The following is a 16,772-nucleotide window of genomic DNA, read 5'->3' on the forward strand; positions in this document are numbered from 1 at the left end:
GTTTTCCTTTCTCCTGAATAAATAGGAACGGGATTACAGATTCTTGTGGGGAGAAACTCCCCTGTTTTCCAGAGAGGCTGTACCATTTTGCATTCCCACTGGCACCGTATTAGAGTTCCAGTTGCTCCAATTCCTTTCCAGCACTTGTTGTTTTTCTTTTTTCTTTTAGCTGTTTTAATCAGTTCATAGTGGTGTTTCATTGTGGTTTTAATTTAATGTTGAATTTCTTTTCATGTACTCATTTGCCATCTGAAAAAAGTGTTTGGCTTTTTTGGTAAAGTGACAATTCAGACCTTCTGCCTATTTTATTGGATTGTTTGTTTTCTTACTGTGTTTTGAAAGTTTTTTATATATTCCGGATACTAGTCGTCTATCAGATATGTGACTTATAAATATTTTCTCCCAAATTTGTGACTTGCTCTTTATTTTCTTTCAAAGAAAAATTGGAAGTTTTAGCTTAATCAATAAAGGTGTATCACCTGAGTATAAACAGATATTTTCTTAATGGTGTCTTTTGAAGATTAGTTAGGAAGTCCAGTTTATTTTTTTTAATGGTTTGTGCTTTTTTGTTCTATCTAGGGAATCTTTGCCTAAGGTCTCAGGGTCTCAAAAGATTTTATTCTGTTTTATTCCAGATCTAGTTCAAAAATTTGAGTTAATATTTGTATGTGGTATAGGATATGGGCCAATATTTGTGTTTTTATTGTATATGGATATCTAATTGTTCTGGGACTGTTGAAAAAACTGTTATTTCTCCATAACAATGGACTGTATATGTGTGGATCTGTTGTAGAGAGCAGGGCTTGGCTTAGTGCTAAGGTTAGCACTCACTGGTGCACTGTTGTCACCAATAATGTTGTCTGTTGTGACAGACAGTGCCTTTGCTGTGCCGAAGATTCCCAGATGATGTTGTTAGTCTTTTCCTCTTAGAAGAGTGGGCAGTTGCTCAGGTGAAGGCAACACCAGCAGCCTCTGGAAAATGTGGGATGTTTGTTCTTTAAACTTTATCAGAGGAACACAGCCCTGATATTCATGTGGGCCCTTTTCTATTTTCCCTAAGTGTCCTCCGGTCTGAGAAATAAACGGAGAGAGTACAAAAGAGAAATTTTAAAGCTGGGAGTCTGGGGGAGACATCACGTCAGCAGGTTCCGTGATGCCCCCGAGCCGTAAAACCAGCAAGTTTTTATTAGTGATTTCCAAAAGGGGAGGGAGTGTACGAATAGGGTGTGGGTCACAGAGTTCACATGCTTCACAAGGTATTAAAAAATATCACAAGGCAAATGGAGGCAGGGCGAGATCACAGGATCGTGGCGAAATTAAAATTGCTAATGAAGTTTTGGGCACACATTGTCATTGATAACATCTTATCAGGAGACAGGGTTTGAGAGCAGACAACCGGTCTGATCAAAATTTACTAGGCGGGAATTTCCTCGTCCTAATAAGCCTGGGAGTGCTACGGGAGACCGGGGCTTATTTCATCCCTTATCTACAACCATAAAAGACAGACGTTCCCAAAGCGGCCATTTCAGAGACCCCTTGGGAAACCATTCTCTTTCTCAGGGATGGTCCTTGCTGAGAGAAAGAATTCAGCAATATTTCTCCTATTTGCTTTTGAAAGAGAGAAATATGGCTCTGTTCCGCCCGGCCCACAGGCAGCCAGACTTTAAGGTTATCTTCCTTGTTCCCTGAACATCACTGTTACTCTGTTCTTTTTTCAAGGTGCCCAGATTTCATATTGTTTAAACAATTTGTGCAGTTAACACAACCATCACAGGGTCCTGAGGCGACATTCATTCTCAGCTTAAGAAGATGATGAGATTAAGAGATTAAAGCAAAGACAGGCATAGGAAATCACAAGAATATTGATTGGGGAAGTGATAAGTGTCCAAGAAATCTTCACAATTTGTTCAGAGATTGCAGTAAAGACAGGCATAAGAAATTATAAAAGTATTAATTTGGGGAACTAATAAATGTCCATGAAATCTTCACAATTTATGTTCTTCTGCCATGGCTTCAGCTGGTCCCTCCGTTCGGGGTCCCTGACTTCCCGCAACAAAACTTCTTTTGTTTCCTGAACCTTATTAAAGGTCTCTGGGGCAAATGTGAAATTCCTTTTCAAGGCTTCCTAGATTATGGCTAATCTTTCTGAACAAGGAGATCATATTAATATTACTTATTAATGGCTATCATGAACCTAAAAATATGATTTATGACTCAACAATGCATTCATAATTTTGCACCATAACTATTTTTATAAAGAAACTGCCACCACCCCTTTACCTTGAGGAAAAAAACTTCAAAATGTAATTTTAAAAGTCTGATTTTGTAATATATTAATTTTTTCTAGTAATGAAAAATATTATATCAAAAATATAAAATTGGCCTTGAGTTTCTTGGATCAAATAATGAAGTCTGAAGACATTGTTACTATATTACTTTGGGGTTTGATGTCCTGTAGTCTCTTAAAGGACTGAAATTTGTTGTTGGACAGTTCTCTTCAGCTCTGACTCTTTTCCCCACCTGCTGATTTGTTCTTTGACTGAGCTTTGTGTGCCTTTTGGAACAAGGACTTGGTTTTCTTTCTATCCTTCATTTTAAGGACAGCGAAGGACACACAAAAGTTGCTTAGTAAGTGGAGAATAAGGAATAACTTTACAATAATGGTGGCAATAAAGGTAGCAATTCTTTCATTAAATACATTGTACTAGCTTTCATTAAACAAATTGAAGTAATAATTATTTAATTACATATGAAAACTAGAATCTTACCTGCAATGGGTCGTGCAAATTAACAATCTTTTAAACAACTCTTTAGAAAGAAAAATTATCTGCCATATTTAAATAAATGTTTTTTCATTCTTTTACATCTTATATCTTTGATGACAATTGCAAACATTGGTGGCAACATACTTGGAACTTTATCTTCAATTTTCTAAAGACATAAGTAGCCTTTTTTTTTTTATTGAACATAAACAACAAAGTAAAAAAAATCAAGTTCCTTACATGTTATTTGCTCTTCACCAGATTTCTTCCTGGTACGGTTATGATCTCAAAGAAACATCTCAAAGAAGACATTTTCTAAGAGTTTTCTCTTAGAAGCTTACAGAGATGAGCAAGCCTTCTGTGACCTCATTCCCTTGCGGGGAACAGTAATAGAAACCCCAAATTACCAGTGGCCTCGTCCTAAGAGCCAAACCCTGTGGACATTCTTTCTTTGTTATCTCAGCCTCATAGAGGGTCTAACATTGTTTATCCATACTCCTTCCTTCCTCTGACTTTTCATGCCTCTCTCAGAGGGGTCTGTTTTCTGCAGTATGTGGAAGGTGATGGGTGTCCTGGAGTTTCAGCCCCCTTTTTTCTCTCTGCCATTTTCATCGGCCACATCGTCCCCTCTGCCAACCCCAGCTGCTGCTTGTGTATGTATGCCTAACAAACCTGCCTTTTCACATCAGACCCAGTTACTCCCCTGACTGCCTATTGACACCTCGACATGAGGCCCCTCACATTCAGTGTGAACTAACTGAACTGATGATTTAGTCCGTATTTCCTTTCATTGTTGCATTACCATCATCTGTCTAGCTAGTTACCTTGGCCTTAAATCTGGGAATCATTTTTTGCCTCTCCTTTATCTTCCTTTCTCCCCATACTCCATGTAGGGTGTGCCACACACCCCTCTTCTCCCAAACACTCCCTCTTCACTGCACTTCACCTTCAATCTTAAAAGCTAATTGTGCACCCTTGCGAAACTTAAGTAGAAGTAGATGAAAAGTTATACTTACATTTAACTATTCTGCAGGCATTTTTTTCAAATAGGATTTTAGAGACCGTAAAACCACATTTGAAATTCAGATGTTGCACCAGCAATCAGACTGCTTTGCCAGTGATCAAAAGAGGCAGCTTTTCATATGAAATAACACAAAATATAAATGTATGTATATAGTTTATCTGGTGAGAACTTTTGTTCCATGACATTGTGCACTCTAATGCTTTAGGTTCTCCCCTCACCTCAGTTACCATAGTTATCAGTAAGTTGCTCACTACAGGTGACCCAGTATCAGGTATTGAGTAAGCATGATTTTGAGGTAAGAACATGACAGTAGCATCCTTGTTTTCATCTTGCAGTCAGGGAGTATTGGTTTGATGAAAGGAGGAATATAGGCAAGAGATCAAAGCCCCTAGAGAGATGAGCATAAATAATAACTTTACATTTATAAGTATCACTTAGTGTTTTCTCAGGTTGCTCTCTAGCAACCTTGTGAAGTAGGCAAGAACTGCTGTATATATTTCATGGATAAACTACAGGCCTGCCCTGAATTGTTCAGGTAAGTGCATCTCTGTTGGCCACCATGGAACTTGTTGCATAAAGTTGCCCTTGTAAGAAGCTGTTATCTTGCCCACATTCTGGTCCTTCCAGGGCATCTGCATTTGTAGCTTTCAGCATAGACACAGTGCAGACTCTGTTTCCTCACTCCACTTCATAGGAATGCACTTGGTTTATATTTCTCCTGGTCTTCAGTGACACAGGCTTTGAGCCTTAGAGTCAGCTGCTGAGCAGGAGATTCTCTACCTCTCTGAGGTCTCTCAGGCTGCTTCATCATGCTCCAAGATGAATTCCTTACGCTTAAGACACCTATGCTCAAACTATCCCAAATGACTTTTCAAAATTGGTAACCATTCCTCTAGTCATTTTCTCATCATGGTATAACATAATAAAGGGAGGTAGTAGGGTGGGAAATGGAAACTAAAAATCAGGGAAGTGTATAAAATTATTGTCAGAGCCAAGACTAAATGTCAGATCTTATGACATATACTTTTCTTTTCCATTATACTTTCCACGAATCTGTTTCCTGAATGATTGGTGACTGTTGCAGTTTTAGAATGGGATTCAGTGTGAAAGAGGAACGAGAGTTAACTCAGGAAGCTGCTGTAGTGCAGGCTACAAGGAGAACTCTATTAATTCTTGAGCCTGGGTACTGAATGTGGACAGTTGAAATGCACTGGGAATCACTAGTTGCCTAACCCCCTATGGTAATTAATAGCTTGACTTTTACCTTAACGTATAATACAGCAGTTGAGTAGGAAGGTAGTTAAGACCCAGGTGTTTGATGGGTGTGAAATAGTAGCTCACTGTTGTTTTAATTTGCATTTCCTAATTGTAGGGAATTGAGCACTTTTCTACATGTTTATTGGCTATTTAGGTTTCCATTCTACAAAGTACCTGTTTATGTCCTTTACCTATTTTCCTATTGGATTGTTGTATATTGATTTGTAGGAATTATTTATATAGTCCTGATACTCTTTATATATTTTATAAGCATTTTTCCAAGTCTGATTTTCAAACATAGTCTTCATAGTGAAATTTCTTATTCTTAATGAAATTAATAATTCATATTACTTAATGTTTATAATATTAAATTAATTTTATAATTCACTTTTGATGTTCTGAATTTTTAAGTTAATCTTTTTTCCTTTCTTTCTCTATAGGGTATGAACGTGATTTCTGATGAAACTGGATTGGAATAATTTTCATGATCTTTGTATATTTATATATATATATTTTTAAATTTTGCATTTGACTTAAAGTGCCATGAGAAAATTTGCATACTGCAAGGTGGTCCTAGCCACCTCCTTGATTTGGGTACTCTTGGATATGTTCCTGCTGCTTTACTTCAGTGAATGCAACAAATGTGATGAAAAAAAGGAGAGAGGACTTCCTGCTGGAGATGGTGAGTGACATTTTATAATAGAGCTGTTTTAACTACTATATCACTGGTTTTTACTAACTAATTTGGATAATATAAAATTTTAACTTTTTTAGATTAACTGTAGTCTGTGACTTCCTGTGGGAGATATGAGGATCATATTGATAGTTCTCCAATGGGTTCATCCAGCAGTTAAAAGCATGAAAGTATCATATATAGAATTGCTGAATTCGATTTTTGTGTTCAATATTTAGTGTAGTTAATTTCCTGTAAGTTACTTTATGTTACTAAATAATGTGGGTATCTCATAGTTGGGATATCAAAATTGTACAGAAGATTAGTCTAATGCCAAAATGCTGAGTGGAGCATTAAAATTGCATTATAAGGTATCAAAAGAGATTACTCCTCCCCTCCCATCTCATTCCTAAGGGGAAGAAATTTTTATAGATAGATGTGATCTGTAGAAGTTGTTGTTGTTGTTGTTAATGTTTTAGATAGCTGCAGTTAGCACTTTTAGGGAGAACTTTTTTGAAAAGATTGGGTGATAGAATAGAGGCTGCAGTGAGATCATTGCAATATCTAGTATGGAAAGGAAATAAATATACAAATATAAAGGAGGGAGGTAATAGGTAGTACTGATATTTTTGGCAGAGGACATTGGAAAATTCAGTTTTAAACTCCTTTTATTCAACAAACAAATGTTGCCATTTTTTAAAAAATTCTTTTTTTTTTTTTTTGTTTTTAACCATAATGAAAATGACTGCATTGCAAGAGTCAGTAATCCAGTTGTTCTGGGCTCTGAACTCTGTGATTAGTTATAGAATACATGGCTATACAGCAGTTCTACTATTTTTAGAAATTATATACAAATAATTACTCTTTAAACATGTTTTCTTTAAGCATATAGCCACATTTAAATTTTTTATACTTTTATGATGAGAAGGGCCTTTGGTCCCCCAAAATTTACAATAGAAAAAAAATATTGATTTGTATTGTTAACTGTACCAACTTAACTTTAATTGTTATATGTGGGCTTACATAACTGGTTCTATTTATATCTTCTTGGGAAATCTGCCTAAAATTAGGCTTAGTTGCTAGCACTGAATTCCAGTAATGCCTAGGCTAATTCCTAACTTAAATTTTCACTTTTTCCAAATGTTTTAATACATTTTTCATCCAAAGTCAGCCTATTAGTTTGCATAATATTTACTTTATAGCTCTGCTGTTGAGTATCTTTGTTGGGTGACAAAATGTTGCCACCTTAACTGTTGCTAGAACTGTATTCATACTGTCTATGTTTAAATCAAAGAACAGGTATTACGATTCATCAGTCAGAAACTTGAGTATTCTTTTCCCAAATAGAATGGAATAAATTTCCCCTCACCCTACCTTAATTCATTGCCATTTATAATAAGCTCATGGTGTTCTATCTTAAATGTAAAGACTTGACAGTGAGAAAGAATAGGCTCTATAGCATGTGTAGATTCACTTGAATTTTTTTTGACTTTTATATGTGCTGGGCAAGGTACTAGGTGCTGTTGATACACAGCTGAACAAAAAAATAAGACAAAATTCCTCCCTTCAGGGAACTCACAGTCTAATGGAATAGAAATAACAATAGTAAATATCAGCGTAATAAATATCACTTTAGGAATGTGCACAAGAGTAGAAAGGAAGGAATGCCTTGGGGTGTCTGAGAAGCTGCAATAAGGAAGTATGTTCCAGCTTAGTATCAGCTTGAGCAGGTGTTTGTTAGGAGAGGAGAAGACCTTCCAAGCAAAGGAAAGAAGGATGTGCAAGATTAGCAAGTGAGAACGAGTTGATAGGAGAACAAGAGCACAGGAGGTGGCAGAGGCCATGTCACACAAGGCCTTTTATGGCATGCTAGGGGTTTTGGACTTCATCTGTAGACAGCGGCATGGCGCTGAAGCACTTTAAACAAGGGAGTAAGGCCTGATCGGACCTGGACTTCTGGAAGAATGCTTTGGTGGTCATGTAACTGGTGGACTGGAAGAGGACGAGGCAGGTAGCAGATACCAGTCTGAGACTGTTGTGAGAGTTTGGAAAAGAGCTTGGAACAGACACTAAAATGACACTGGAGATGGAGAGGAAATAAATATGTATGAAAAGCATTTAAGTAGTGGAGTTTACATAACCTGGGGGGCCATCGAATGTAGGGAATAAGAGAAAGAGAAAAGTCTAAGGTGGCTTTCATGTCTCCATGGTTGGACGAATTGATGCTCCTTAGAAGAGGAGCAGCTTTGATGAAAAGGTGGATGCATGAAGTTGAGTTTGGAATTTTTTTTTTCATTTTTCTTATTTATTTATTCATGAATGAGATGGAATGTCGCTCTGTCACCAAGGCTGGAGTGCAGTGGCACAATCTCGGCTCACTGCTGCCTCTGCCTCCTGAATTCAAGCAATTCTCCTGCCTCAGCCTCTTGAGTACCTGCAGTTACAGGCGCACGCCACCACACCCAGTTAATTTTTGTATTTTAGCAGAGATGGGGTTTCACCATGTTGCCAGGTTGTTCTCGAACTCCTGACCTCAGGTGATCCACCTGCCTCAGCCTCCCAAAGGGCTGGGATTACAGGTGTGAACAACCGCACCCAACCTGAGTTTGGAATATTTAACTTTGAGGAACTGGTAGCGATGTTCTGCAGTAGAGAATGGTCGAGATGGAGAAAATAGATGGTAGTTTAAGTCTTTTCTGTACCTGAGGCTGTGCATGGTATGTGTAGAGTTGGAAGACACAGACTCCCTGTTGGAGAGCCCCTCCTGGAGGGTCACTGAAGGAAGAGAAGGCTTCCCAGGAAGTCAGAGTGGAATGAAAAGCCCCAAGGAGTAGGTCATAGAAGCCCAGCCAAGGGTGGCATTTGCTCAGAGGTTTTACCTAAAATAAAGTGTTTCTGATAGTTTGGTATGGGGCTTCTTGTGACCCTGGCAAGTGTCATTTCAGGGAATGGTAACTGTGGAAGTCAGTGGATTCTGGATTCAATATACTGGAGAAACAGTAGGGATGTGGCTGTTCTTTAGGAAGCTTCAGCATGAAGGGAAGCATGTAGTATACGGTAGTTACAAGAGAGAAATGGAGCCGAAGTTGGTTTTCTATGTATTTATTATTATTTATGTATGTTCAGGAAGAGGTTTAAACTATAGGGGAAAGGAGGAATACTTGAAAGAACAAATTCTCAGCAGATGAGACAGTGGGGTATCAGAAACGTGAAAAGGATTCTCCTCAAAGAGCATCCACAGGTTATTATAGTTTTGACAACCACTAGTGGCATAAGTTTCAAAGAAAAAGACTGGGTTTTGTACAAAAGTACAAGCTAAAGGAGCAAAAGTCTGAAAGTAACGGAGGTATGAGATGGCCTCCTTGCCTCTGGAGGAAAGGAGAACGAATCATTCTCCCAGAAACAGTTGTGAGGTTAAATGGACTCTGGAGGAGAGCTAGACTTCAGTTAAGTCTGTAGATGGAGCCTGTGTATTGTGGAGACCAGACAGTGGAGAGGCTTTACAACAGCCTGGGGGTGTCAGGGTGTTCAGGGGACAGACTGAGAAGGACCTCCAAGCGTGAGGGAAGGGCTGAGCCGTAGGCTGGAGGGGAAGTACATAGCTAAGGGGAGATAATCTTTGAGGTCCCTGGTAGTCTTAAGGGAAGAAATGATTAGGGGAAGAGCACAGTTGATGCTAATAAGCAACAGTTTGAAAAATCTGCTTTGATATGAAGTTTCAGTGCAGTAGGTGCTGAGAGGTCTTAAGTCTTTTCAGAGCCCAGAGGTTGTTAAGGTTCTGCTAGTGACAAATTTCTGTGGTGCATTTGAAGAGATGTTTACTAAAGAGGATCAGGGAGAGGGAATGGGTAATGGCACCAAGGATGCCAACTTTCTAGTGGAATTAGCATGTACATTATGTGACCTCAAAGTTTCTCTTTTTTTTTTTTTTTTTAAAGACAGAGTCTTACTCTGTCACCCAGGCTGGAGTGCAATGGCGTGATCTCAGCTCACTGCAACCTCCGTCTCCTGGGTTCAAGCGATTCTCCTGTCCCAGCCTCCCGAGTTGCTGGGATTACAGGCACCCGCCACCATGCCCAGCTAATTTTTGTATTTTTAGTAGAGACGGAGTTTCACCATGTTGACCAGGCTGGTCTCAAACTCCTGACCTCAGGTGATCTGCCTGTTTCAGCCTCCCAAAGTGCTGGGATTACAGGAGTGAGCTGCTGTGCCTGGCATCAAAGTCTCTCTTAATAGAACACATAGGGCCTCCTGGATCTTTGTTTTAAAACAAACAACCAAAACAAAACAACAAAAAGCATTGAGCAGTATTACACTCCAGAGTGACTTTTTCATATTGGAAGTACCTAATTTCTGAACGTTCTGCTTTACAGCTCTGATTTCGGTGAAATTTAGCAAATTTTACTGTCTCTGCTGTGAAAAAAGTTTTCCTAGGTTTGAATAGAATGGATTGATGTCATTGTGATAATGCTGAAGACTTCCTGTAACATTGTTGTTGATATGCTGTACTTAAGAGTTTTCTAAGATTCTTCTATTTACTTGTTACTTGCCTGCTTCAAGGAATAGTGAGTCTTTGGTGACTCCAGAGGGGTTTGTTTTTTCTGAGTCGTTCTCTTAAGTCTATACTTGTATTTTATACCTGAGGCTATCTGAAAATAGCAGAGTTCTGCTGCTGCTAGAGTTAGATTGGGCTCCCTTGAAAGAATACGGGTAGTGGGGGTTATGGCCTAGGAATATTTTTACACTCTTCTGCTTTCCAGAATTAGCCCATTTATCCACTTTATGGATTTGGGTGTTATATAGAGTGTTCAGTATTTTTAAAGATGCAGTTTCAAGTAGTAATTGATTCTTCATGTCAGTACTGCATTTTCAGATCATTAAAATATTAATGATTTAACTTTTCATGTACTTATGCTGGAATTATTTCAACTGTTGAACATTAGGAAGCCTTGGAGAACATGGTTTATGGAAAAAACTTACAATGATAAAAAACTTTAAAATATTACTAGTAAAGGCTATAATAACTTTATAACAAATTTTTAAGTGTTGATTTTTATATATGCAGCGCAGGTAAATTGAACATGAAATTGGAAATTGACAAGGATGTTGAAGTAGCAGAAAGTTACCAGTGAGTTAAGGTATAGATGATATTTTGATGTTTAAAAAATCAGATAGTGTACTGCATTTTATTGCATCTTACATACCTTTGTTTATAGAATATTCTGTATACCACCGTAAAAGTGATAACATTCCAGTTACCATTGTGAGCCACATTCCAATTTCAGAAATGTTAAAATATAGTAGGAAACATTTTGAAATAGTGAATATAGTGCATAAGGACAGTAAAAATGTTAATTGTGTAGTAAGATCAGAAAATAGTTTGGGAGAAATGATTTTAGCCTTTTATTAGTATATTTACCCCAAAAAGAAGTCATATAACTTTAGTCTACTTTCCTGAGAGAAACACACATAAGAAATTTGAAAAATATCCTTAAAGTGTATTCAAAGGCATGCCAGTGGTTTGTGTATGTTAATCTTATTTGGGGGCTTTCAGAGTGAACCTGTAGTTTTCTTGGTAATTACCTTTTCTAAAACATGATACTTATCTACAGTGTCATGTAAATGAAACTTAACTGAAGTATATAATAAAATATGTTTGTTCTCACATAATACTTTGGAATAACACCTTTGTCCCTCCCTTGTCAAAGTGATTTGATTCTTAGAAATGAGCTGCATGTAGAATTTTATGCAAAGATATTTTCTTTAGTTCATGAAATGACATCCAAACTCATTTCAGTTTCTTTCTAATAAAATTTTCACAGAACCTACTTTTAATACACATAGAAGACTGGCAGTAGAGAACATGGAAAGTTTATACTTACCATCTTTTTAGTTGCTTTCTAATGCTATAAATGCATTAATAGTAACATATATTCACTAACCACATGCATTTCATCCAAACTCGTTTGCCAAGAAAATTAGTTTAATAGTCCATTTAATTCTGTAGGATATTGTATTTTCTTATTAATAATTAGAGTATTGTGGTGCATTCTCTAAATCATTCAGTAGACATGTAACTTTTGATTAATGATAATTTTAAATGTGGCTCTGAAATTTCATATGTAACAGTAGGTTAGAGTACATAATGCAGGCACTATGTTAGATTTTCAGATTAATAAATATCAGGTGATGAAATGTGCAAAATAGTGCATCAGCAGGATTGTATATGCTGTACATTTTTGCCTGATTCTTTAAGATCTCAAAACCAACTTTAAGCTTCTGGTTATATAATTTCATGTGTAATAAGCAATTAAGTTTATATTTTGTAGTATTTATAGTAATAATTTCTCCAGTCCTCCTTAATGCCCCCCTCCACCATGGAAATTCTCAAACAGAAACAAAAGTAGAGAGAATAGAAAATCATGGCTGGGAGCGGTGGCTCACACCTGTAATCCCAGCACTTTGGGAGGCCAAGGTGGGCAGATCACCTGAGGTCAGAAGTTCAAGACCAGCCTGGCCAACATGGTGAAACCCCATTTCTACTGAAAATACAAAAATTAGCCAGATATGGTGGCGCGTGTCTGTAATACCAGCTACTGGAGAGGCTGAGACAGGACAATTCGCTTGAATCTGGGAGACAAAGGTTGCAGTGAGCCAAGATTGCACCACTGCACTCTAGTTTGGGTGACAGAGCGAGACTCTGTCTTAAAAAAAAAAATCAAAAAAAAAAAATTAAACTCTCATGTATCCATCATCTGGCTTCAAGAGTTGTCAACTCATGGCTAGTTTTGTGGCATGGATACCTCTTTCTCTTTGTCTCCCTCAGACCTGTTTTGTTTGTTGTTGAAGAAGAAATTGAGGTATTTCTCTTTTCCAGTTTCCTGCAGTCTGGATTTGCATCCCTTTAATGGTGCATGCCATGTCCCTTTGTCCCGTATATTTCCTGTAAATTAGGTCTAGAGGCTTGATCAGGTTGAGGATCTTTTTCCCCCTAGTAAAAACACAGATGGTATATGTATATGTTAATACTCTTCATTTAAAAACTGAGCAGCATGAAAACGTTTCTATTTTGATTTTTCTATAAAGCATTTTATACTAAAATAGAGCATGGGTAACAGAAGGATATTTATAATCAGGGCCACTAGATGTCTCCCACCTACTCTTTATGTTATCTGTGCCATCCACAAAAGATTTTTGTCACCTTCAGAACTCTGCCGGTTCCTTTTGACCACTGATGTACCAATCTCAAAATCTGTTGGTTGTTCTTTACTTTCAGAGACTGGCAAGTAGAAATGACTATACGAGTTTAACAGTATTTGATTTTTAAAGCTTTAAAGGCTGATTTTATATGGAGTATTACACTTCTGTACTTATAGTTTTTACTACACTTGTTGATGATTTTTGTCATTGAGAATTTTTAAAAACTCTACCAACTCTCATATTTAAGGAGCTTACTTACTGGGCAAACATTAGGCAGGACTTGTTTTTAAAAACTATGTTACTTGAGTTTCCTATAATTTTTAAAGTAATTTTCTACTATTTTAATGTTCCACATAAAATCCCAATTTATCCTGAGAACAGGGGAAAACTAATGCACACTTTTTTCATCATCATTTTCTGAAATCTATTTTTAAATTCTGGACGTGGTTGAGGACACAGTGAATAGTTTCATATCCTGCAGCTCTGGTATTGGTAGGTGGCTTTGTACCACTGGCTGAAACAATCACCCTAAAGTCAGCTTTACCAGCTCGTCCTGTTCTTGTACAGATGAAGCCTGACTGAAGAGAGATGGCTTTTCTGCTGCCTTGATGCCACTATTTTTTGTTTAGAAATGTTTTGAGGATGCCTAAAAAACAATCTACAAGAGAATAAAACTTTAGATTTTAAAATAAGTAATGCATAAAATATATTTTCATCCCATTTTTGACCTCACCTCATTCTTTAGCCATCCCTTATAGATGAGAAGTTTAACATAGCACCTTCCAAATTTAATATATCCCAGAACCTGTTTTTCTTGGACATTTATTAACGTCTCAAAAACATAAGGAAGAAAGTTTGGGAAGTGCTGATCAGGCACATTGCTCTTTTTATGTCTGTATCAAGAGATAACATTACTTTTGATGAGAATTCTTGTTCTAATGGGAGGGGTACATAAGACAGGTTTGACAATCATTATAATGAGAGATAGCAATTGGTTAGAGACATAAGAACCCTGAATGAAATAATGTGATAGTCAAGACTAGTAAATAACCACTATAGAGAGATTCAGAAAAGCTACAGGGAAGAGAAGCCATTTTAGTTGGGCATGGGAAGGCAAATAGGGATTTGGTGTTGCAGCGATGGAAGCCGTGAGGGGATGTGAGCAAAGGCATGGAAGCAGGAGAATGTGAGGCACGTTGGAAGGAAGGCAGTGGGTGGCTGTTTGACTGCAAGATGAAGTACTGTGGGATGGGAGGAAAAGGTCTAGCAGGTGATAGTTTTGGAAAATTAGGTTCAATTCCCCATTACAGAGGTTGGACTCTAGGAGGCCATAAGAATAACAATGAAGGCTGCACTTTAAGGAGATCAGTGTGGCAGTAGTTTTTGAGTTGGGAGCCAACACCATGCAGTGACTCAGGTGAGTGGGGCAAGGTGACGAAGTCTTGAGTCAGGACACTGGTGTGGAGGTAGAGGACAAGACAGCCCCTTGAAAGGGTTAACAGCCTAGGAGAGGGTGGGCTCAGAAAGGGTTCTGGTTGTTGAGGGCACAGTTCAAACACAAATGTTATTAAATAGAATCATGAATCAATCAATTGCTATGAAATTAATGTTAGTTAAGTTTCTTCCTATTCTTAGTTCTAGAGCCAGTACAAAAGCCTCATGAAGGTCCTGGAGAAATGGGGAAACCAGTCGTCATTCCTAAAGAGGATCAAGAAAAGATGAAAGAGATGTTTAAAATCAATCAGTTCAATTTAATGGCAAGTGAGATGATTGCACTCAACAGATCTTTACCAGATGTTAGGTTAGAAGGGTAAGTACTTACTGTGGTCCTGATAGTATGTGAATGAAAAGTATATTCTGAATTTTCAGTAAATTGCACTTGAGTGCTGATTGTTCTTAAGGCAAATGTTATATCACTATGTTACTACTTACCCCACTTAGAAAATAATTAAATGCTGATAGAAATAATATCTCAAGCTTCTACTGATTATTAGCACTATGTATTTCAGGCATTGGAAGATAATTATTTATCTTAATGGATTAGAAGGGGATTTTAAACTTTATTATTACCAAAATACTCACATACTCAACTTTTTACAAAAAGATTTAAGTTGTATGTAACTTGAAACAGTGAAATACACAGTCGTAAGTATACAGCTCACTGAATTTTTTGCTATGTATACACCTGTGTAACCATCAGCCAAATCAAGACATAGAATGATCCCATCACCCCTGAAAGTCTCCTTATGTTTTTTGTAGTCATTACTTACATCCCCAGAGGCAGCCGTTATATTGACCTCTCTAAACATAGATTAGTTTTGTCTCTTTTTGAACTTTTTATGATGGATCCACACCATTTTTTGTGCCTTTAAGATTCATATTGTTGCATGTATCAGAATTTTATTCTTTTCTACTGCAAATAGTGATTTGTAATATGAATATGCCATTGTTTATTTATACATTGATAGACCTTTGGATTATTTCTACTTTTTGACCCCTATAAATAAAGCTATTGTGACATTCTTGTTCATGTCTTTTGGAGGACTTAAGTGCCCATTACCGTATGCTATGTACTAGAGAAAGGAATAGGTTATGCATTTATATAGCATTAGCATGTGCTACCAAATATTTTCCCAAAATGTTTATACCAATTTACACTCCTATCAGCAATATATTAGTTAGATGTCTAGTTGCTCCATAAGAAGAAGGTAATACAAGGTACTAGAGTACCATAGGCCCAGTTAAAAGCAAGCAAACTATACAGAAAATAGGTAGAGTAAGTGAACATGTACATTCTGTGCTGAGGCCCCCTAAACTCCTTGCTCTCATTGATGCTGGCAGCCAAGCTTGCCTCCTCCAGAGAAGAGACTGGAAGATCTTTCTCATCAGAATTGGATAGGCCTAGAGAGAAGGGTAAGTACCTAGTGTGGTCCTGATAGTATATGAATGAAAAGTATGTGCTGAATTTCCAACAAATTGCACTTTAGTGCTGATTGACTTGGGAAAGTTTCCAACTTAATGGCACAGCCTGATCACCCTTATGGAAACTCATAGTCATTGAGTCCTACTCATGTGTTTAGGCCTCATATTCAGCCTCTTGGTCTTCCATTCTTAATAACAAATAGGTAAGCAAGGAATACTAGACATCTCAGGAAACCCTCAACAAACAGAGAAAAGCAACTTTGAGGAAACAAAAACTATTAAGGTAGAACACATAAAGAGAAATAACTAATAACCTCAACAAAATAGAGAATATATTACAACCATAAAATGAGAATAGGATATTATTCAAAAGATACACTGAGAGAACCAGAAAGAGCTTTTGAAAATAAAGAAAAATGCACCAAAGAGATGGACAACAGTAAAATTATATGAACATTGAAATAACAATCAAGAAATCCAATATTTTAATAATAGGAGTCTCAAAAAGAATTTTAAAAATAGGGAAGAGAAAATTTATCCACAAAATTTTCCATAACTGAACTGCACAAATTTTCAAATTGAAAGAGCCCACCAACTTTTTGGGACAATAGATGAAAATAGACTGTACTCCAAGACATTGTGACTTTCAGAACACTGAGGATTTCAACCCCCAGGGGGGAAAAAAGACCTTTTACAGGTTTCTTAAGAGGCGAAAGAAGGTCACAATCAAAAGGTTATTAATCAGAATGCCTTCAGACTTCTCAGCAACTCTAGAAACAAAGGAGCAAAATTCTAAAGGAAAATAATTTCCAATCTAAAATCTTATATTCAGCCAAACTTGCAATAAAGTGCACAGGTTAAATAAGGATATTTTTGGACATGCAAGATCTCAAAACATTGAACTCCCAAGCATCCATTCTCAGGAAGTTACTAG

General features: G+C 37.2%; 1 protein-coding gene across 13 annotated transcripts in view; it reads left to right on the forward strand.

The window, feature by feature from the left end:
* GALNT1 (polypeptide N-acetylgalactosaminyltransferase 1) overlaps positions 1 to 16,772 on the forward strand; it is a 130,913-nt gene that overhangs the window by 68,155 nt on the left and 45,986 nt on the right. For 11 of the 13 annotated variants that reach the window (XM_047437466.1, NM_001384441.1, NM_001384440.1 and 8 more), the window contains 2 exons: positions 5,484 to 5,725; positions 14,552 to 14,726. In XM_047437466.1, the coding sequence (XP_047293422.1) occupies positions 5,587 to 5,725; positions 14,552 to 14,726 (314 nt within the window). In that variant the 5' untranslated portion in view covers positions 5,484 to 5,586. The remainder of the gene's footprint in view (positions 1 to 5,483; positions 5,726 to 14,551; positions 14,727 to 16,772) is intronic. The other 2 variants (NM_001384439.1, NM_001384438.1) reach the window with 1 other exon arrangement.

This window comes from Homo sapiens, chromosome 18 (genome assembly GCF_000001405.40).
Source record: "Homo sapiens chromosome 18, GRCh38.p14 Primary Assembly".
In the NCBI taxonomy this organism is placed as follows: Eukaryota; Metazoa; Chordata; class Mammalia; order Primates; family Hominidae; genus Homo; species Homo sapiens.